Below are 18,407 nucleotides of genomic sequence, written 5' to 3' on the forward strand. Positions count from 1 at the left end.
CTTCTCAGTCCGGGACGCGAGACGGGAACGCAGCCCTGGCGCCCCAACGCTGCACCACCGTGGGTCTCCGAGCCGTGCTCGCAGTCGCTGAGATCCTCGGTGCGGAGAAGATGTGCCCCTCCAATCCCCAGGCCGTGATCCCCTTCACCCAGACCCGGCCAATCCCTCGCCCGAGGCGAGCGGGAGGATGCGGTTCTAGGACCCGGAGGCGCCGCCGAGCGCGCCGCCGCCTCGGCCTCGCCTCGGTGGCCTCCCGCTCCGGCAGGTGAAGCGGCGCCGGCCGCCCCCTCTGCGGCAGGTGAAGCGGCTCGGCAGCCCACTCCCCGCCCGCCATGGTTGCGGGGGTCCCCCGGCCAGCGCCCGCCCCCTCCCTCCAGCCCGCCCCCCTGGGGCTGGGTGCCCGGCGGCGGCGGCGGCGAACTGCGGTTTGCGCGCACGGGGAGCGACAGCAGAAGTTCGAAAATCGCCGAGGGGGGAGCCAGCGCCGCAGCTTCCTGCCCCCGGCCCAGCCCTCTGGCCCCGGCGGCCTGCAGCCTGACTTCCTCCCCCAACCCTGCAGCTCGCCGCCCGGTCCCACGGACGGGGCCGCCCCGATGGGACGCCGCGCTCCGGCCCCTGCGCGCCGCTGAGCCGAGCGCCCCCCGCTGCCGAGACCCCCGCCGCCACCGCCAGCCGCTGCCCCCTCGCCCCCGCCCGGGCCGGGAGCCTCGTCCCCGTCCCCCGGAAAGCTGGATTTCCGAGGCTGGAGGCGCCTGGCCGGCTGGGTGGGGACCACCATGGGCAACGCGGCCGGCAGCGCCGAGCAGCCCGCGGGCCCCGCCGCGCCGCCCCCCAAGCAGCCCGCGCCTCCCAAGCAGCCGATGCCCGCGGCCGGAGAGCTGGAGGAGAGGTTCAACCGCGCCCTGGTGAGTGCGACCCGGAGGCGGGTCGGGCGCGGGCGGGGGGCGGCAGGGGCGCGGCAGGGGCTGGGCGCGCGTCCCCGCCCCCGGGGACTCAGGTGCCGCTTGGAGATCCCCGGTCCGGCAGCTGCCCCCTCCAGGAGGTGGGAGCGACAGTGGCCTTTTTTTCAGAGTGACTTAGCACTCTCCCCCCAAAACTTTCTTCAGTTATCGCCCGGTCTCCCTCCCTAAGACGCCTCCACCCCAGCTGGGTCTTAAGGTCTAAACAAGTATGTCCTGTGAAGAAGTTGGGAGCGGGGCACGCACAGGGGTCCCGGGTCGCCCCCTTCCCCACTGCACGCAGGCCCAGCCACCGGGCGCGGGTCTGGGGCATCTGCCTTTCTGTGTCTGGAGTCAAAGATGAAAGGGTTACAACCTCCCGGGAGCGGGAGACCTGCTGGAGGTGTTGGGTCCTGATTTGTTGGGCGCCTGGGCTGCGGGGAATGGGGTTGTCGGATCATGGCCAGGAGGTATCTGTGTTTCTACCCCGCCATATGTCAGAGCCAGGGTGCCTGTGGGTCTTTATCTTGGGGCATCCTTTCCAAGCCACTGAAGGGAGTAAGATGAGGGAGGGTGGGGTCAGGACGGGTGGGTCGCCCAGGCTAGGGGTGGAGCAAAATCTGGAACCACCCCCCTCTGTGCCTACCTGGGGAATTGGAGCGGGGTCGCTGGGGAATAGGTCTCTGGGAGGGAACCAGCAGCTCAGGCCGAGCCTGGAAACAGTCAACATGTTCAGTGGGGTGGGGGCTCCAGAGCAGACTCAGGGGTCTCCAAGACCCTGCATAAGGCAGAAGTAGGGAGAGGAAGAGCTGCTCACTCTCACTCTCCCCACCCCCGACGCCCTGGCCCTGGCTCCCTCCTCTAACTAATTGCCTGGTGGCCTGCCTGCTGTCAGCCTTCCCTTGCTGGACGCTGGGTGACAGGCAAAATGAGGCTGTGCCTTCTCCCAGATGCATTTCCCAGTCCCTGCAGGTCTGAGGGTGGGGGCTCAACGGAGACACAGGCCGCAGAGGGTTCTGGCTCAGTTGGTGGCCCTCCATCTCCTTGACATCATTTCCCCTCGCCTGGCTGGTCATTAGGCCATACGTGCTAGATCCTCAGCATGGCTCCAGAGGGTCACCTCCTAACAGTTCCTGAAAATGTTGGCTTCTGTCCTCTCCCAAGAGAAGGCTGGGGGGAGTTTGGAGGAGCTATGGGGTGGCGAGGGATCCATCCTTGTGAAGACACCTTGCTTGATTAGAGGAGGGCAGGGACACTGAGGGACGCCTCACACCAGGCTGGCCCCTGACTTCTCCATCTCTCCACCTGCCCTGCTCCCCGCTCCCCAAGCATAGGACTTCACAAAGCTGAGCTGAGCTGAGCAGATGGGGGAGGGGGGAGAATGAGGAGACACAGTCTCTGGGGGCCATCTGGAGAGCCTGCATTGGTGGTGGGTCCTTGGACCCCTGCCAACCTGGTTGGAGGGACATGGGTCTGTCTTTCCGCCAAGTGTGTGTCTATGGTCGCGGGTGTGGGCTCTTGGGGTGAGGTCCTGACCCCAATCTTCTGTTTAGCACGCTGATGGGGAGGAGCCCTGTGAATAATTCAGACCAGGGGAAAATCCACAAGTCAAATGGTGAGGTTCTGATGTGTGTGTAGGACTTGTTTGCCCTGCTTGGATTTGTGGCTGTGATTGGCTGAGTCTGACACTAAATGCCACTGGGAGTCCCTGAGTACCAGGATGTGGAGGGGGGACACCCACAGGTGGGTCAGAGAGGGTGTGCTGGTGGAGAAAGTGGAGGTGCCTAGCAGAAATTTAGGGTAGCAGCACCCACCAGGGCTTACCCCCTACCAGGTGCCCAGGAACCCCAGTGTGTTTATACCTTCTTCCCGGGGTGGCTCAGCCTGTCTTATATCCTGTTGTGGGCAGGTTAAACCCAATCTAAGGACACTTGGCTAAGACCCTGGTTCCTCTCATTCCCCACCAGCAGGGGCATGAGGCTTGCCCCAGGGTGACAACCTTGACCTCTGCCTGAGGCTGCCCAGGGCTAAAGAGTTGGTTCAACCCTCAGGTCTGGCAGTGTGTATCGCAGAGTTGGTCGCTATGTGAACCCCCACCCGAACCACCATGGCCAGAGCTGAGTCCTGTCCTCGGTCAGTGTCTAAGAGGAGAAGAACCTTAGATTGCTGAGGGGAGGGGCCCACCGCCATCAGTGGTCCCCAGTCTCAATGGGAGAAGCACAGTCCTGCCCTCAGGGATGTAGTCCAGCGGCCCCAGGGAACCTCTTCCTTCCCCTTTTGTCCCTGGTGGGGCATAGGATCCTGATACCCCAAACTCTCCTTCCTCTCCTGGCTGTAGGACCTCTCTTGTGGGTGAGGGGTGTCCCCACTTACAGCCAGACAGGAGGTGCAGGGAGCCCTTCTCCCATGCAAGGGTGGGTGGTGGGGGGCTACCTTTCCAAGAAAGCTGTGAAAGAAAGGGGTGCCCCCTGCTTAAAATGGGGGTGGAGAGAAAGAGCAGGTTGAGCCAGGGTTTCCGGCTGCTGCCTTAGCAACAGCAGAGGAGCGATGGCTGCCCAGCCCCACGGGCCTGCTGTGATGGTGGGAACACCAGCCAGCGGGGCGCCAAGCTCTCGCCTCTCCTACGCCCATGCCCAAGGCTGGGTGTCTTCCAGCCCCTTCATGCCTTCCCCTGGGAGGCACGCAGGGTCAGGGACTGGGATGACAAGGCGACCTTTCCAGGCCTGCCAGAAGAGCCACACTTACACCTGGGCCTGGGACACCCCTGATCTGCCGGGCAGGGAGAATCCCATAACCTTGGGGCAGAGGGATCAAGGGAAGGTGTCAGGGGTGGTGTACGTGAGGCCAAAAGCCATGCTGGCATCCAGTAGCAGTGGAGAGGAATTTGCCTGATGGGTGCTCTTGGCTTGTGCCCAGAGGCCTGGGTGCCTGGCCAGGCTGTGTGGGGAGGTCAGGATGGCCCCATGTTGGGTGTGGGCCTGGAGTCCTGCTTGCAGCTGGGGCCCTTCCCTTCTGGGGCTGGCAGTAAAGGGCAGGAGGGACTGCAACTGAGGCACTGCCCCCTGGCCACTCCCACCTCCGGGACAGGGCAGATGAAGTGTGGGGACCTGGAGCCATGGGGTCGCTCAGGCCTTATGCCTGCCATTTGCAGGACAGAGGATCTCCGGGGGGATGTGGCCATGTGGTCTGATGTTGGGCTGGGCAGAGGGGAGGGGTGACATTCCCAGCAGGCAGGGCTGGCACATACTAACCCTGGAAAGCCACGGATGTGGTGGGCATGATTCACAGTGACATCTGGGGCTGACTGGCAGAGAGCTGGGTGAGACGGGTAGAAGCAGGTGCTCTCAGGGCTACCTCTGCCTTTTTCCTGGGAACATGGAGCCCTGGAAGGTGGCTTGGGGGGCCTTTGAGGGGACAGGGGTTACTTATGGGAAAGGCAGGGACGTTTCCTGAGCTTTGGGGTCATGATGTTTGGGGGTTGAGATTCATTTTTGTCACTACCTGCATGGCCCTGGACAAGTTACTTAACTTCTCTGAGCTGTAGTTTCCCTCACCTGTAAAAAGAGAATAATAATGGCATCTGCTGGCCTCCTAGGATTGTCGAGAGGGTGAAATAGAGGACTTCGCACAGTGCCTGACACAGAGCAGATGCTCAGTAACCCCCCTCCACTGTGAGAAAGGGGATAAAGCTGGAGCTGATCTGGTCCTCTCCATCTCAGGGCCCATTTAGCGGAGGGAGCCCAGACCCTGCCTGTCCCCTCCCTCCACCTCCACTACCAAGAGCACCCAAGGTTACTGTGCACTCCCCAGGAGCCCCAGATCCTTAGCTAGTGAGGGCCAGGCAACCTCCCCACCGTTATGCAGGTCACCAGCAGTGGGGCCCAGACCGAAAACTGCCTGGTGGCCGGAAACCGCTGGAGGGAGGGCCTACCTCTCCTGGAGGGTGGGGCAGCGATGGTGCTAACGGTAGCAGTGTGCACATGGGAGGGGGAGGGGAGGCCTCCACTTCCCCCTGAGAGAGGGTGTGCTGGTGGGGGGGTTCCCCAGTGAGTAAGAGCTCTGTGTGGGCAACAACAGGAAGCGTGGGGCGCTGGGTGGCAGGAAGTGGAGCTGGCTGTTCCTGGTTCCTCAGATGGGGGATCTGGGCCAGGCTGTCTGCAGAAGACCCCTGGGGGCCAGGACCCACATTTCCCATTCCCCGGCTGCTCCTTCTTTGGAGGAAGCCGGGTCTTCCTTGCTAGCTTGCCACCGAGGCCACCCTGGGCAAGCACCTTAACCTCCTTGAGTCTCAGTTTCCCATTTGTGAAATAGGGATTATAACAGTATCTATTTTGTAGGCTTGTTGAGGTTTAAATGAGTTTTGATGTAAAGTGCTTAGAACGGCACCTAGCACCCAGTGTTTGGGATTGAGAGATTAATTCTGAGTGAAAAAAAGTGTCTGGGGAGCGTTTGTTATTGTTACTGTTGTCGGTGTTGTTTTCCTCCTACCAGCCTGGATGATATAGGTAGTGGCTTCCACCCTGCTTGCCCTTGTCCCAGCTGTGGGGACCCTTGAACTCTGATGGGAGAAGCTGTTAGCTCTTTGGGTCCTCAGCACCTGATCCTGGGGCTGGGTCTCCTCATAGATCTCCTGTAAGCCTGGAATTGCTTATAAGAGCCCCAGAAAATCTATATGCCAAAGTTTAAAAAAGGAGGTAAAATTGATTGTGTTTGGATATGTGCCGAGAACACTACAACTAAGGTTGAGACCATATAGAGGTGGGCAGGTGGCAGGGAGATGGATGGGGGAGTGGGGGCTGGGGGACAGGCTCAGCTTCTGGGCCCATCGGGCTGAGGAAAGCCTGTGGGGCTGGCCTGAGACTGGGATTGATGTCCAAGTTCAGGGGTACCCTGGGGCTTGAAGGGCTAGGCCATAGGGAGAGATGGGCAGGTGGACTGAGACGTAGGCTCCGCTCAAACTGAAAGTGAAACCCTAGGGTGTGGCTGTGTCCAGATGTGGACGCAGCCCCTTCAGCCTCCTGGGACACTGTCTCAGAAGTAAGCACTGGTGTGGGGGAGGTGGGGGAAGGGCTCTTAGCAGTGTCTTTTGGGGGCTGGTCTTAGGTGAGCAGATGCTGGGGGTCCCCTCTCACACTCAGGGCAGGGAGGGAGGAGAATGGTCCCCACACATTCTAATAGAAAGATGTGGGGAATCAGTTCCTTTTCTCGGCCACACCCTAAAAGATGAATCCTGTCTCTTTCCTCATCTGGCCCAAAGCACTAAAGGCAGCAGGGAAAGTAGGCTGAGGCTAGTTAAGGTTTGGCCAAAGCCTTGGAGACAAGTCTGTGTTTCTGGATGTTTTCACAAACTTCTGCTCACCCTACCATCCCCTACCCTGGGGTCTTCCATGGACCCCTGCCCCTCCACCTCTTCTGCCTCTGTGAAGTGCTTCTTCATAGTGTTAGGCCACTGAAGAGCTTTGTTAAATCCAAACTCAGCTTCTCACTGAGTGTTCCAGGAGCTCCGTGAGTGTGAGGCTCCGGTGAGGGAGTGCGCCCATTTTATGGAGGAGGAAGCTGAGGTCCAAGGGGGCAAAGAAGCTGTAGGGCTAGTTGGGCCCAGAGCCTGGGTCTTTTGAAGCCAGCTCCAGGTCCTCCATGTGGCAGCTCATAGCTGTCCCTCCCTGCCCCCCTCAGGAGGCAGGTATCCCGCCCACCTGGACTGCCAGCCCCTCCCCTCCTACTTGAGCACTGTCAGCCAACTCTCCGTGTGTCCCCCAGCCCCCCATCCCATGGTGCTGCTGCCTCGCTGAAGGCCCTGGTCTGGGGGTCTGTTCCTGTTTTCAGGGTGGCCTCACTCCACCCCGAGTGAGTGGCATCTGATGGCCCCTCTCCTACTCCCTGGAGTGCCTGGCTCCTCGGTGGGCACAGCCACAGCTGAGGAGCAGCTGCTAATTAGTGTTCGGCGCTGTCAGAGCTATTTCTGATTTCTGAGCCTAAATTTAGCCTGTCTGGCAGGCTGGCATGTGGGCCTGGGGGCCTGAGAAGGCCCAGGTGGGGAAGGGGCATGGGCACCCTGCCCTCCACCACTGTTCAGACAGGTGCTCCAGGCCCCAGCAGAGGCCTCCCCTCGGCAGTAACAACCAGGGGGCTGTCCTGGGGGAGTGGACCCAGGTGGTGGCTCAGAGTCAGCTCCAGGCTCAAAGCCAGCCCAGCTCTCCTCTTACTGGCTTCGTAACCTTGGGCAGGTCACTAAACTAATCTGTGCCTGCACCTGTGAGGTGGGAATGTTAACGGTGCCAGTGACGGCAGTGAGGGTGGAAGGCAGTCGTCGGCGCGCAGGGCTCGGAGCAGTGCCTTGCACAGTAGGCATTCTGGTGGAGCTGGCCACCTGACTGTTGGAGATGTCATTATGACTAGTTACTGCCCCTAGAAATGCCGCTGGGGCCATTCCAGAACCATAAAGTTCCCTGGGTGGGTGAGGGCCTGGGAGGATTCATGTCGGGAAGCAGCTGTCCCCTCTGTGGCTCTGTGCTGGGCTCAGCCATCCCCTTACTCCCTGGCCACCGTCTTTTGTGCCGGCCACGGCTCCAGTTTCCCTGGCACTGCTGGCCCTGTCTCTCCTCTTTGTCCCTTTTCTCCACCTTGCTCCCACCTTAGCCCTGCCCCACCCTTTGTCTCTGTGGGGTGGGGGTGACTGAGAGACATCATCGAGAGAGACAGACAGATGGACAGGGACAGAGAGACAGAGAATGACCTCGCCTCCTTTGTACTCCTGGGCGGTTCCCCCACCCCCTGCCCCTGTGGTAGCAGGAGCTGTCCTGGCCCTTGGAGGGCTGGGGGAGGGCGGCTGATGAGACAGCGGTGGTTTCCTCAATCCAGGCTCACTTTCGCAATAGGGGAGAGGAATGACGTATTCCACCCCCTTCAGCCGCTGGGGGCGGGGGGCCTGGCGGAGGGGCAGTTTCACCTCTCCAGCAGGGCCTGGCCGGAAAGCTTAGGCAATGGAGGCTGAGCGCACCCAGCTTCCTGTTGTCTGGGCCTGACCCAAGGCAGTGATTTTGGGGGTAAGGTCTGGCTGGAGCCCCAGAACTAGGCCCAGCACCCTGGAGGGGAAGCTGGCTGGGGAGTCTCAGGTGGGTGTGGCCCTCTGACTGCTCCAGCTGTGGCGTCTCTGCAGAGCCACATGACTGAGGGTGTGGAGCGTGAACCACCATGGCTGGTGAGCCCCTCAGGGTCTCCCACATCCCCGATGGAGACTCTTACTCAACTCAGATCTCCTTGAGGGCAGGAACTGTCTTTTTGGGCCAGACATATAGAAGGCTCTCAATAACCTGGGGTTTACTAAATTGAAGGGAACTGGCCTCATCTTTTGGGTCTGTCAGGGAGACAAGCCAAGTCTGGGGGTCCAGAAAGCCCCTGGTGCTATTGACACCTGGTTGATTCGGCAGCCCTGGGCTGGCGCTAACCTGCTCCGTGGTGGCAGGGGCACCGTACCCTTGTCATCTGTGGCCAGGGGAGGAGGACCCAGGCAGAGCTCTGTTGACCTTTCTCAGCTCCTGGGGGAGTCCCAGCTGGGCGGCCCCCACCACAGACCCAGGGCACTGGCTCTTCTCCCCAGTGCTGTGGCCGAGTGACCTTCCCCGCAAATCTCCCCGCCCCTGCAGCTGTGATCTGGAACTCCCTGCCTGCTGACATGGCCGCCCTCAGCTCCCCCAGCCCTCTCCTTCCTTTCTCAGCCTTCTCCTCCAAGTGGGAGGGGGCTGGAGAGGGATGAGGAGAAGGCTGCTGTCCACTCTCCTTGCAAGAGATTTCCTGGTGTTCGTGAGGCACTGGTGCCCTGGGCCTGGTCTGTGTACACGTGGGATCTGGTGGCACGTGGAGGTGGGACACTGGCCACTGGCCACTGGCCACACTTTGGCCTGACTGGTGATGGCTCCCCTGTTAGCTTCCCACCAGAATGGGGGAAGAGATGATGCCCCAACAGGAAAACTGGGGCCCAGAAGTGTCTCAGGTCCCCAGAGAGGTAGGCTGACAACCCACGCTCCTGCCTGCACACCAGGCAGGCCAGGGAGGCGGTGTGGGGGGTGACACAGCGCAGGCAGACTCGGATTCAAATCCTGCTCTCCCTTCTAGCTGGTGTGCCCCGGGAAAGGTGCTCTGTCTCTCTTGGCCTTGGTCTTCTCATTGGATAACACTACGTATCTCCTAGGGTCAGAGGATTCATGGGGGTGATGCACCTCCTAGGGAGCCAAGTGGGTTTCCCCCAAATGCCCATTCTCCCCTCTCCCCTTGTTGGGGCCCCAGGCTCAGGGGTCTTTGTCCTCCCTGTCCCCAGAACTGCATGAACTTGCCCCCAGACAAGGTCCAGCTGCTGAGCCAGTATGACAACGAGAAGAAGTGGGAGCTCATCTGTGATCAGGTAGGTGCCAGCACTGCCCAGCCACCCCTTCCCTCCCACTGTCAGTACCCCACCCTGACCAGGCTGGGGCTATGGGGAGAGGGGCACCGCCATACTGCCCATGGAGCCAAGACTCTGCTCAGTGGCCAATGTAGCACCTGGGGAGGGTGCTGGGGTCTGCAGGACTCCCAAATCCCTTTCTCTTGAACTCCCCAAAAGACCTTGTGAGTCACTAGCAGGGCTGGGTCAGCTTCAGAGGAGCTGGCAGAGCTGGTTCAGGCTGGGGCAGCTGGGGCCTCGCACTGTCACTGTCCTCCTGCTGAGCTTCCTGAGAAACCTCTCTGGACTGGGGAAGGGAGAGGGCGACCCTGGGGTTGGACATCTTCACCTGACCCCATGGGAGGGAGGGAGGAAGGGGCGGGAATTCCTGCCCTTTTGCCTTGGGTCCAGAGGAGCTGCAGTTGACCAGCAACTCCCCAAGGCCAGCCACTTTGGACCCCTGCTTTGGTGCTCCGTCCAGGTGCCTGGACTCACGGGTCACTCAGCTGTCCCCACCCCTCCAGCTTCAAGGGCTGCGGTCGGCCATGGGCCGACCCTCTCCCAGCGCTGGGCTGGGTGGGGCTCGGCTGCCGCAGGGATTCTGTGAAGGAGGGAGGCTGCAGAGGCTGGGGGTGGGGAGTTGGGAGCTGAGAGCCTCCCCTGGGAGCCAAGGCTGGGCCTTTGCCTCCTGCTAATGAAGCAGATGGCCTGAGCCGGCTGGGCAGCAGTCCAGGGGTAAGGGCTGGGAAGTGGGAAGAGGGTGGAGAGCTGCCCCTGGAGTCTCTGGTAGGGGTCCCCTTGGAGCAGCTCAGCCTGACATCTCAGAGGTTGGGGGCTCAAAGGGCTGGAAGAAGTGAAAGTCTGAGGGGTGGCTCGGCGAATCTGAGGGGTTTGGGTTGGAAGGGTGGGGGCCCCTCTGGGGAGGGGTCTTTGCCGTGGTCCCTGCCTCTTTGTGTGAGTGGCCGCTGGAGCCTGCAGTGGGGTGGGGGGATTAGGAATTGCATCACTGAGCACAGGAGAGGAGCACGCAGGTTCCTGCCAACGCAGATGTGCAGGGCGGCTGGGTCCGAGTCCTACCCAGGTGCTGGGTCCCCTTCACGAGGCACCTCCAGCCGTCCTTCCCCGCCGTATGCCAGCTCTGGTCCAGGGAGGGCACCACCTGCTGGCTAGACTGAGTTCCTTCCCACCCCAGGGCGGGGCCTACGGCAGGACTGACCCCTGCATAGTCCACCCCAAAGCTGTGTCAGGGCTGTGGCCTGGGAGCCCATACAGGAAGGGCAGGCTAGGCCTAGGCCAGGGGTTTTTAAAGTGGCCCGATGCTAGCTGGGCGTGGTGGTGCACACCCGTAGTCCCAGCTACCTGGGAGGCTGAGGTAGGAGGATCGCTTGAGCCCGGGAGTAGGAGGCTCCAGTGAACTATGTTCGTGCCACAGCACTCCAGCCTGGGCCACAGGGCAAGAAAAGAGAAAGATAAAAGAAAAGAAAAAAAAAGAAAGTGGCTTGGTGGACTGTTTGGGTTTATACCTTTGGTATTTCAGAGGCGTCTTAAGAAAGCCTGGGACCTCAGATCGGAGCTGAGAATGGGACACTGGGACGAGAACTGGTCATTTGCCCTGGGGTAGCTCTGGCTGGTTTTCTGTACACCCCATTCCATCTCCCCAGGAGCGGTTTCAAGTCAAGAATCCCCCCGCAGCCTACATCCAGAAGCTGAAGAGCTATGTGGATACTGGTGGGGTCAGCCGAAAGGTAGCAGCTGATTGGATGTCCAACCTGGGGGTACATGTCTCCCCTCTTTACTCTGTCCCTTTCCCCCACATTTTCCAAGCTCTGGGCAGCTGGAGTAACTGTGTGTACAGACTTTTCTATGTGCGTGTGTGGGTGCATGTATGAGTGTGTGTGTGTGTTTGTGTGTCTGTGTATTTATAGGGGAATGAGAGTGCCCTGGGTGTGCACTTTAGATATTCCTCTGTACATCCTGTGTGTGCTTACATGGACACATTCTGTGTACTTATACTGTGTGTATACACATGTGCAGCCCATATGTCCATACATAGGTGTGTGTGTATACTATGTGTGTACTTTGTCCACTTATGGATGTGTGTGTGTACCATTGAGTCCATATCTAGGAGAGAGAGAGAATGTGTGTGTGTGTGTGTCCATGTATGGATGTGTGGATATTCTATGTCTGTATTTAGAGTGCAGGTATATGGATGTTCATGTGCTGTGTGTGTGTGTGCGCACACACACTCTGCCTCTTTGTGTGTGTGCATGTGTATACCTTGTGTGCCCATGTATCGGGGGTGTGTGTACCCTGCTTGTCTATGTATGGGGGAGCACATGTAGCCTGTGAGTTCTTATTCTGCTGGGCAGGTGTGTGGAGGTGGTGGGGGAGGCTGAGCATGAAAGGCCACTTGTGCCAGTTGGAGGAGGGTGGGCGCTGCTGCCTGCTGCCTCAGGACTTGGTGGGCCTGTGGGAGGCCGGGCTCCACCCACCAGCCTTCCCTGTTCTCGGTCCCCAGTTTAAGAGGCGAGTTCAGGAGTCCACGCAGGTGCTACGGGAGCTGGAGACCTCCCTGAGGACCAACCACATTGGGTGAGTGAGGGCTCAGATCTTCCTCTCTGGGCCTAGGAAGGCTCTGCTTCCAGGCAGCTCCTGGAGCTTCCCCTTCCTACTCCCCCTGCCCCCTGCACAAGGCTGTGCTTGTGGACCACCTCCTGGAGGTGTCCAGGACAGCTTCCCCTCCCCTTCCTGCCCATGCTCTGACTGGCACCTTGAGGCATGGCTGGGCTGTGGGACCCACCTGAGTCTCCCAGAATCCTTTGGTATCATTGGGTCTTTGGGGGTTGAAAGGGCACCCCAGGGGTCCTTGCTGTCCCTGTTCTGTGCCCATGTGGGGCAGGACCTCCTTTCTGGCTGGAGCTCAGGGAGCCCTGTGCCCACAGGTGGGTGCAGGAGTTCCTCAATGAAGAGAACCGTGGCCTGGATGTGCTGCTCGAGTACCTGGCCTTTGCCCAGTGCTCTGTCACGTAAGCCCCCTGCTCCCAGCCCTCATGCCGCTCCTCAGAGCTTTGATCCCCGTCTCCCTGCATCTCACCCACTCCCCTGGCCAGTTTCAAGCCAGGCAGCCCGAGCCTACCCTGGAACCCTCCACTTGGCCTTGAGCGATGCTCCTTCCAGAAGGCCTGCCCCCGACAGGGAGGGGTGGCCTCTCTTCCACCACTATGTTCAGCACAGTGCCAAGAACACAGCCTCCTCCTCCTGCTCCTTAGTCTCACCTGCAGGTCTGTCTCTCCTTGCGTTTCCTCTGCCCCCTCTTAAGTGGCCCCTGCAGTGTTGGCCTCCAGCCCCATTGCATCCTGTCCCCAGGTATGACATGGAGAGCACAGACAACGGGGCTTCCAACTCAGAGAAAAACAAGCCCCTGGAGCAGTCTGTGGAAGACCTCAGCAAGGGTCCACCCTCCTCCGTGCCCAAAAGCCGCCACCTGACCATCAAGTATGTGGGCCACAAAGTGGGGTGGTGGGAGAACAGAGAATTCAGCCCCCACACTGCTGCATCTAGCCAGCCCACCCCGGGCCCTTGGGGTTGGCGAGAGGGGTAGCCATGCATTAGGGGTCCGAGTAAGGGACTCATACAGAGTTTGGGACACCAGTATGTTAAGAAGCCATCAGGGGTGGGGCTGGGTGCTGTGGCTCATGCCTGTAATCCCAGCACTTTGGGAGACTGAGGTGGGCAGATCATTTGAGGACATGAGTTTGAGACCAGCCTGGCTAACATGGTGAAACCCCATCTCTACTAAAATACAAAAATTAGCCGGGTGTGGTGGTGCACGCCTGTAATCCTAGCTACTCAGGAAGCTGAGGTGGGAGAATCGCTGGAGCCCAGGGGATGGAGGTTGCAGTGAGCTGAGATCGCACCACTGCACTGCAGCCTGGGTGACAGAGTGAGACCCTGTCTCAAAAAAAAAAAAAAAAAAAAAAAAGAAAAGAAAAGAAAAAAGAAGCCATCGGGGTGGGCACCTAGAAGTTGGAGTCTGGATGGGTCTGGGATAAGAAGGGAGTTTCTGGGTTGGTGGGACCCCTCTTGTATGCATCTAATCCCCTGTTTTCTCCCATGCGGCCTCCAGGTGTCCCCCTTCTCCCCGGTACGTAGCCATCTAGGGGCAGGTGCATGCCTGGCTGACTCCCTCCCAGGGTGGTGGTGGGTTAGGATGAGGTATTCAACTGATGTCCCTGGGTTCAGTGCTGTGGCTGGGTTCCTCCATCCTAACACGGGCATCTTGCTGGGAGGCAGGAAGCAGGCAGTAGATGGACCCTAGAGCATCTTGTGAATCCCTAGCTTCCTGCTTTGGGTCTAGAGGATTGATTGCATATTAAGCCTCAAACTTTCACAATATGTTATTTGTCCATTCATGCAATTATGCATTCAGCAAACATTTTTTTAACACTTAGTATGTATTAGGTATATGGCAGGTGCCCAGGAGACAGGTCACCCTGCCCTCAGGGGCCCACAGTCTAAGTGGGGGACAATTTAGTGTGACAGGCTGTCATGGAAGTGTGCCTGGGAGCTCTGAGAAGGGAGGTGGCCACCACTTGGGACATCAGGAAGGCTTCCCAGAAAAGGTGACGCTGGAACTGTGTCTTACAGACAGATACAGGCTTTACAGGCAGCCATGGGAACAGGGAAGAGCATTCCAGGCAGAAGGAACAGCATGAACAAAAACTCTGACATATTAGCACAATGACAAGAAAGGGTGATGTGGCAGGAGGGGGTGAAGGCGGGGCCTCCTGGTATTACTGGGAATGTGATAGAATCATCAGAGAGACTGACATGTGGAAGTCCCGGTCGGCAGTTCTGCAACAATGAAAACATCACACATTTGTTGGCGAAGAATAAGGGAGTACAGTCATATAGCACTTACTATGTGCCAGGCACTGTTCTAAGCCTATTCCATAGTCCCAACAACCCTGACAGGAAGCTACTATTATTAGCATTCCTATTCTAGAAGCGAGGAAAGTGAGGGATAGGGAGATTAAGTGACTTATCCAGTAAATGGTGAGCTGGGATGCGCCTGAACCCTGGCAGTGTGAATTCAGATCTGCGTCTTACATTGGAAGATGAGCCCAAGTGGCCATGAGCGCCACCTTGTGGTGATCCTTCCCATGTCTCTTCCTTCTATAGACCCTCACCCTACCAAGTCCCTGGGAAGTGTCTTTGCTTCTGTGTCCCCCCTCCTCCAAGCATGCCAGACCCCAGGTCTAAGGACTGAGGAAGCCTGCCTGCCCTCAGCCAGCCTCTTTGGTTGGGTAGATGGGATGTGGTGCCGTCAGGTTCCAGATGTGCCTCCTCTTACCCCAGAGGCTGAGTGGTGGGGAAACAGGAAGCTGGGGCTCACTCTGACTCCTGCTGCCTCCTCCACACCCCGCCCAGGCTGACCCCAGCCCACAGCAGGAAGGCCCTGCGGAATTCCCGCATCGTCAGCCAGAAGGACGACGTCCACGTCTGTATTATGTGCCTACGCGCCATCATGAACTACCAGGTCAGCCGAGGGGCATGGGACTGGCGACTAGGGAGCCCAGCCTGTCCTCACTGGGGGCTACACAAGCTGCCGAGGCTCTGGGATCCACTGTCCCTTTACCCTGTGCTGTGCTGGGGAACTTGCGCATCTGGGCTGTTGGCTCAGGCTTTTAAGGCTGATGAGTCTTGAGGGGAAGCCCATGTTTTTGCTGCCTCTGTCAGGTTCTCTGAGTACCCCTGCCCATGGCTGGGCATGAAGGAGCCTCACATAGGGACTGGGCTCACCTACCAAGAAGGGCTGGCCGGAGGGCCAGGGGAGAACAGCCTCGGGTCGATTCATTTGGAGGGCTGATGGGTGAAGCTGGGTCCTCCTTTACTTAGCCCGCCTTTAAGCCAGCTTCACGGTTTCCAAGGTGCCTGATGCTGGCTTTTGGAAACACAAAGGTTTTTAAAAAGAGGCCAGGTGCAGTGGCTCATGCCTATAATCCCAGCACTTTGGGAGGCCGAAGCGGGAGGATTGCTTGAACCCAGAATTTGAGATCAGCCTGGGCAACATACTGAAACCCCATCTCTATGAAAATAAAAAAATAAAAAATAAATAAAGAGAGGCCAGGCGTGGTGGCTCATATCTGTAATCCCAGCACTTTGGGAGGCCAAGGTGGGCAGATCACCTGAGGTCAGGAGTTTGAGACCAGCCTGGCCAATATGGCGAAACCCCGTCTCTACTGAAAAAAATACAAAAAAAATCAGTTGAGTGTGGTGGCAGGTGCCTGTAATCCCAGCTACATGGGAAGCTGAGTCAGGAGAATCACTTGAACCCGGGAGGCAGAGACTGCGGTGAGCTGAGATGGCGCCACTGCGCTCCAGCCTGGGTGACAGAGGGAAACTCCATCTTGAAAAAAAAAATAGAAACAAGGCCAGGTTTTGGTGGCCACAGAAGTTGCGGTTGGATACAAAGAACTTCCTAAACTCGAGGGCAGTTAAAGATCCACGTGGCGTGGGTGCCTGAAGTCCTGGGGGGCCCTTCCTGGAGACACTGACCTCTCCTCTCTCCCCAGTCTGGCTTCAGCCTTGTCATGAACCACCCAGCCTGTGTCAATGAGATTGCTCTGAGCCTCAACAACAAGAACCCCAGGTGAGGTCCAGGCCCCAAACCTTTCTCCGTATCTAGAGTCTTCTCCTACTTAGCCCCTTGCTTACTCTGTCCTCCAGGTCTCAGAGGCTCATTCTGCACCCACTATGCTCCTCCTAGCCAGGCCTGTGCCCACCCTTGCCGCGGGTCCTGCCTGTTCTCAAGGGACAACCTGCCCCTTCTCTCTCCAGAACCAAGGCTCTGGTGCTGGAGCTGCTGGCGGCCGTGTGCTTGGTGCGGGGAGGACATGACATCATCCTTGCAGCCTTTGACAACTTCAAGGAGGTACCGGAGTCCCTCACCCAAACATGCATTTCCCCCTATGGTGTTGCTTGGAGTCTTGTTGTTGGCAGTTGTGGCCTTTGCTGGAGGCAGCTGGGGACATTGGGTGGGCATTTGGGGAACGCCCAAAAGTTGAAGTTGAGCCACATCACTGGCTCAGCAATCTGGGATGGGGAAGTTCTGAATGGAAGGTACAGGGTCAGGTAAGGGCACCACCTGGGTGGGGGTAGGGACAACTACAGGGACCTGCTGAACCTCTGACTCAGCCTTGCCAGATCCAAACTAGCCTTGGTTCATACCTCCAGGAGTTGCGGACTCTGGCTAACAGGCTTGCAAGAAGTAGATGTGTGGGGCTGCATAAGATGCATAAGACAAGATATCTTCATTCATTCATTCCTTTAATGAATATTTATTGAGTGCCTACTATGTGTCAGGAACAGGGCACTTGGGCACATCAGTGAACAAAGGAAACCATATAGGGAAAGACAGAAACGATATAATAAACAAGCAAATTACATAGTATGTTAGGAAATGATAAATGCTGTGAGAAAAAAGCCAGCAATGTTGCAGAGGGAGGGGGAATTGGTTGCAGGGTGGTCAGGGAAGGCCTCACTGAGCAAGTGAGATTTCAGCAAAGCTGTGAAGGAAGCAAGGGACTTGGTGTGGGAGTGAGGGCACTCCAGGGAGTTGGAACAGTAAGTGCAAAGGCCCTGGGGTGGGAATGTGCCAGGATGCCAGTGTGGCCAGAGTGGAAAAAGTGAGGGAGAGTGGGAGATTGAGAGGGAGTGGAGGTTTTGAGCAGAAGAGTGACGTGGCTCAACTTAGAATTAACTGGAGAGGAGCCTGTTGAAGCACAGGTGTGGCAGCCAGAAGGTAGCTTAGGACGTGTGTCACTGGGCCTCAGTGAGAGCCATTCCCCTTACCCAGGTGTGTGGGGAGCAGCACCGCTTTGAAAAGCTGATGGAATATTTCCGGAATGAGGACAGCAACATCGACTTCATGGTGAGCTCAGGAGCCCAGCAGCCTGAGGCCTGGGCCAGGCCCTCTTGGGTGCAGGGAGCAGCTAGGGTCCTGGGTGCTGGGCAATGGGCTCTGCCCCCGCAAAGCGTAAGGACTGAGTGGTCAGTAGGGGAAGGGTGGATGTTGGCAGGGGGCTGGATTGAGGGAACATGGAGGTGAAATGTTGGGCAGGCCAAGGCTGGGAGTTAGTGGAGTGAGAACTGTGGAGAAGGAGGGAGGCTTGGGGTAAGTGGAGGTGGAAGGCATTGAGCAACCCCACCTAGAGGATCATAGATCTCCCCATGTCCCTGGCTCCCAGGTGGCCTGCATGCAGTTCATCAACATTGTGGTACATTCGGTGGAGAACATGAACTTCCGTGTCTTCCTGCAATATGAGTTCACCCACTTGGGCCTGGACCTGTACTTGGAGGTAAGCCCTGTACTGCCCCCCAGACTGAACTGCCTGCCCACGGCAGAGTATGGCTGAGTGGTTAGCAGCATGAGTGCTGGGGTCAGGTAGACCTGGGTTTAAATCCTGGCTCTGCCGTTGCCTGCCGTGTGACCTTGGATAGGCCTCTTCCTCTCTCTCAGTGTCAGTTTTGCCATCTGTGAAATAGGAGAATCATAGAAGATAATCTTGACTCTAAATGCATAGACCAGTGCCTGGCACATACCAGGCCCCCAGTCTATGGAACTGTTTTTGCAGGCACCAGAACAGGTCAAGGTAGCCCAGAGTCTGGCTCTGGGAGCACCAGCCTCAGACAGGTGCTCTGACTCCAGCATATAATGGGGAACCCAGAGATACAGGGTAGAAGCAGGAGTTGGCTCATGCTGGATGGGCCCAGGACATGGAGGAGTTCCCTGCCCTGGGGAAGGTGGGCAGAGCTGCTTGGTGCTTCCTGGCCCAGGCTGAGCAGAGAAGCTGCAGCTCCTTCTCTGCTTCCTTTGGGAGGTTTCCTGGAGGAGCGGGGCTTTCGGGGTTGGATTTTTGAAAGCCAGGATTAACAAAAGGTAGAGAGCAGGCTGGCGGGGGGGTCTATCTGTGCAATGGAGTATTATTCAGCCACAAGAAGGAATGAAGTATTGACACATGGTACAACATGGGTGAGCCTTGAAAACA

General features: G+C 58.2%; 1 protein-coding gene and 2 long non-coding RNA genes across 5 annotated transcripts in view, besides 19 other annotated features; 1 reads left to right on the forward strand and 2 right to left on the reverse strand.

The window, feature by feature from the left end:
• FMNL1-DT (FMNL1 divergent transcript) overlaps positions 1-417 on the reverse strand; it is a 30,835-nt gene extending 30,418 nt beyond the window's left edge. Inside the window, exon 1 of the long non-coding RNA NR_147507.1 lies at positions 1-417. This is a non-coding gene — a long non-coding RNA (FMNL1 divergent transcript).
• Positions 112-561: a silencer, noted in NCBI's record as "silent region_8612". NCBI's record gives its function as "represses an Ori minimal core promoter by ATAC-STARR-seq in GM12878 lymphoblastoid cells {active_cell/tissue: GM12878}" and the evidence as "EXISTENCE:reporter gene assay evidence [ECO:0000049][PMID:35858748]".
• FMNL1 (formin like 1) overlaps positions 537-18,407 on the forward strand; it is a 25,434-nt gene continuing 7,563 nt past the window's right edge. For both annotated transcript variants that reach the window (NM_005892.4, NM_001411128.1), the window contains exons 1-11: positions 537-905; positions 9,256-9,339; positions 11,019-11,132; positions 11,876-11,949; positions 12,300-12,383; positions 12,724-12,852; positions 14,788-14,896; positions 15,933-16,009; positions 16,198-16,291; positions 17,216-17,290; positions 17,607-17,717. In NM_005892.4, the coding sequence (NP_005883.3) occupies positions 777-905; positions 9,256-9,339; positions 11,019-11,132; positions 11,876-11,949; positions 12,300-12,383; positions 12,724-12,852; positions 14,788-14,896; positions 15,933-16,009; positions 16,198-16,291; positions 17,216-17,290; positions 17,607-17,717 (1,080 nt within the window). In that variant the 5' untranslated portion in view covers positions 537-776. The remainder of the gene's footprint in view (positions 906-9,255; positions 9,340-11,018; positions 11,133-11,875; positions 11,950-12,299; positions 12,384-12,723; positions 12,853-14,787; positions 14,897-15,932; positions 16,010-16,197; positions 16,292-17,215; positions 17,291-17,606; positions 17,718-18,407) is intronic.
• Positions 572-621: a silencer, noted in NCBI's record as "silent region_8613". NCBI's record gives its function as "represses an Ori minimal core promoter by ATAC-STARR-seq in GM12878 lymphoblastoid cells {active_cell/tissue: GM12878}" and the evidence as "EXISTENCE:reporter gene assay evidence [ECO:0000049][PMID:35858748]".
• Positions 902-1,011: a silencer, noted in NCBI's record as "silent region_8614". NCBI's record gives its function as "represses an Ori minimal core promoter by ATAC-STARR-seq in GM12878 lymphoblastoid cells {active_cell/tissue: GM12878}" and the evidence as "EXISTENCE:reporter gene assay evidence [ECO:0000049][PMID:35858748]".
• Positions 902-1,575: a biological region, named in NCBI's record as "Sharpr-MPRA regulatory region 174".
• Positions 934-1,228: a silencer, noted in NCBI's record as "tiled region #174; K562 Repressive DNase unmatched - State 1:Tss". NCBI's record gives its function as "represses a minimal TATA promoter and a strong SV40 promoter by Sharpr-MPRA in K562 cells {active_cell/tissue: K562}" and the evidence as "EXISTENCE:reporter gene assay evidence [ECO:0000049][PMID:27701403]".
• Positions 1,075-1,575: an enhancer, noted in NCBI's record as "H3K4me1 hESC enhancer chr17:43299790-43300290 (GRCh37/hg19 assembly coordinates)". NCBI's record gives its function as "activates a minimal SCP1, AML or CMV promoter by ChIP-STARR-seq in naive H9 embryonic stem cells {active_cell/tissue: H9 hESC(naive)}" and the evidence as "EXISTENCE:reporter gene assay evidence [ECO:0000049][PMID:30033119]".
• Positions 1,576-2,076: an enhancer, noted in NCBI's record as "H3K4me1 hESC enhancer chr17:43300291-43300791 (GRCh37/hg19 assembly coordinates)". NCBI's record gives its function as "activates a minimal SCP1, AML or CMV promoter by ChIP-STARR-seq in naive H9 embryonic stem cells {active_cell/tissue: H9 hESC(naive)}" and the evidence as "EXISTENCE:reporter gene assay evidence [ECO:0000049][PMID:30033119]".
• Positions 2,412-2,481: an enhancer, noted in NCBI's record as "active region_12283". NCBI's record gives its function as "activates an Ori minimal core promoter by ATAC-STARR-seq in GM12878 lymphoblastoid cells {active_cell/tissue: GM12878}" and the evidence as "EXISTENCE:reporter gene assay evidence [ECO:0000049][PMID:35858748]".
• Positions 3,082-3,131: an enhancer, noted in NCBI's record as "active region_12284". NCBI's record gives its function as "activates an Ori minimal core promoter by ATAC-STARR-seq in GM12878 lymphoblastoid cells {active_cell/tissue: GM12878}" and the evidence as "EXISTENCE:reporter gene assay evidence [ECO:0000049][PMID:35858748]".
• Positions 3,672-3,721: an enhancer, noted in NCBI's record as "active region_12285". NCBI's record gives its function as "activates an Ori minimal core promoter by ATAC-STARR-seq in GM12878 lymphoblastoid cells {active_cell/tissue: GM12878}" and the evidence as "EXISTENCE:reporter gene assay evidence [ECO:0000049][PMID:35858748]".
• Positions 4,912-5,131: an enhancer, noted in NCBI's record as "active region_12286". NCBI's record gives its function as "activates an Ori minimal core promoter by ATAC-STARR-seq in GM12878 lymphoblastoid cells {active_cell/tissue: GM12878}" and the evidence as "EXISTENCE:reporter gene assay evidence [ECO:0000049][PMID:35858748]".
• Positions 6,692-6,751: an enhancer, noted in NCBI's record as "active region_12287". NCBI's record gives its function as "activates an Ori minimal core promoter by ATAC-STARR-seq in GM12878 lymphoblastoid cells {active_cell/tissue: GM12878}" and the evidence as "EXISTENCE:reporter gene assay evidence [ECO:0000049][PMID:35858748]".
• Positions 6,762-6,811: an enhancer, noted in NCBI's record as "active region_12288". NCBI's record gives its function as "activates an Ori minimal core promoter by ATAC-STARR-seq in GM12878 lymphoblastoid cells {active_cell/tissue: GM12878}" and the evidence as "EXISTENCE:reporter gene assay evidence [ECO:0000049][PMID:35858748]".
• Positions 6,992-7,061: an enhancer, noted in NCBI's record as "active region_12289". NCBI's record gives its function as "activates an Ori minimal core promoter by ATAC-STARR-seq in GM12878 lymphoblastoid cells {active_cell/tissue: GM12878}" and the evidence as "EXISTENCE:reporter gene assay evidence [ECO:0000049][PMID:35858748]".
• Positions 7,109-7,744: an enhancer, noted in NCBI's record as "H3K4me1 hESC enhancer chr17:43305824-43306459 (GRCh37/hg19 assembly coordinates)". NCBI's record gives its function as "activates a minimal SCP1, AML or CMV promoter by ChIP-STARR-seq in naive H9 embryonic stem cells {active_cell/tissue: H9 hESC(naive)}" and the evidence as "EXISTENCE:reporter gene assay evidence [ECO:0000049][PMID:30033119]".
• Positions 7,109-7,971: a biological region, named in NCBI's record as "H3K4me1 hESC enhancer GRCh37_chr17:43305824-43306459".
• Positions 7,662-7,971: an enhancer, noted in NCBI's record as "active region_12290". NCBI's record gives its function as "activates an Ori minimal core promoter by ATAC-STARR-seq in GM12878 lymphoblastoid cells {active_cell/tissue: GM12878}" and the evidence as "EXISTENCE:reporter gene assay evidence [ECO:0000049][PMID:35858748]".
• Positions 8,362-8,471: an enhancer, noted in NCBI's record as "active region_12291". NCBI's record gives its function as "activates an Ori minimal core promoter by ATAC-STARR-seq in GM12878 lymphoblastoid cells {active_cell/tissue: GM12878}" and the evidence as "EXISTENCE:reporter gene assay evidence [ECO:0000049][PMID:35858748]".
• Positions 13,470-13,609: a silencer, noted in NCBI's record as "silent region_8615". NCBI's record gives its function as "represses an Ori minimal core promoter by ATAC-STARR-seq in GM12878 lymphoblastoid cells {active_cell/tissue: GM12878}" and the evidence as "EXISTENCE:reporter gene assay evidence [ECO:0000049][PMID:35858748]".
• Positions 16,670-18,407, reverse strand: part of FMNL1-AS1 (FMNL1 antisense RNA 1) — a 3,753-nt gene continuing 2,015 nt past the window's right edge. For both annotated transcript variants that reach the window (NR_186808.1, NR_186807.1), the window contains one exon: positions 16,670-17,893. This is a non-coding gene — a long non-coding RNA (FMNL1 antisense RNA 1). The remainder of the gene's footprint in view (positions 17,894-18,407) is intronic.

Source organism: Homo sapiens, chromosome 17 (assembly GCF_000001405.40).
Source record: "Homo sapiens chromosome 17, GRCh38.p14 Primary Assembly".
Classification (NCBI taxonomy): domain Eukaryota; kingdom Metazoa; phylum Chordata; class Mammalia; order Primates; family Hominidae; genus Homo; species Homo sapiens.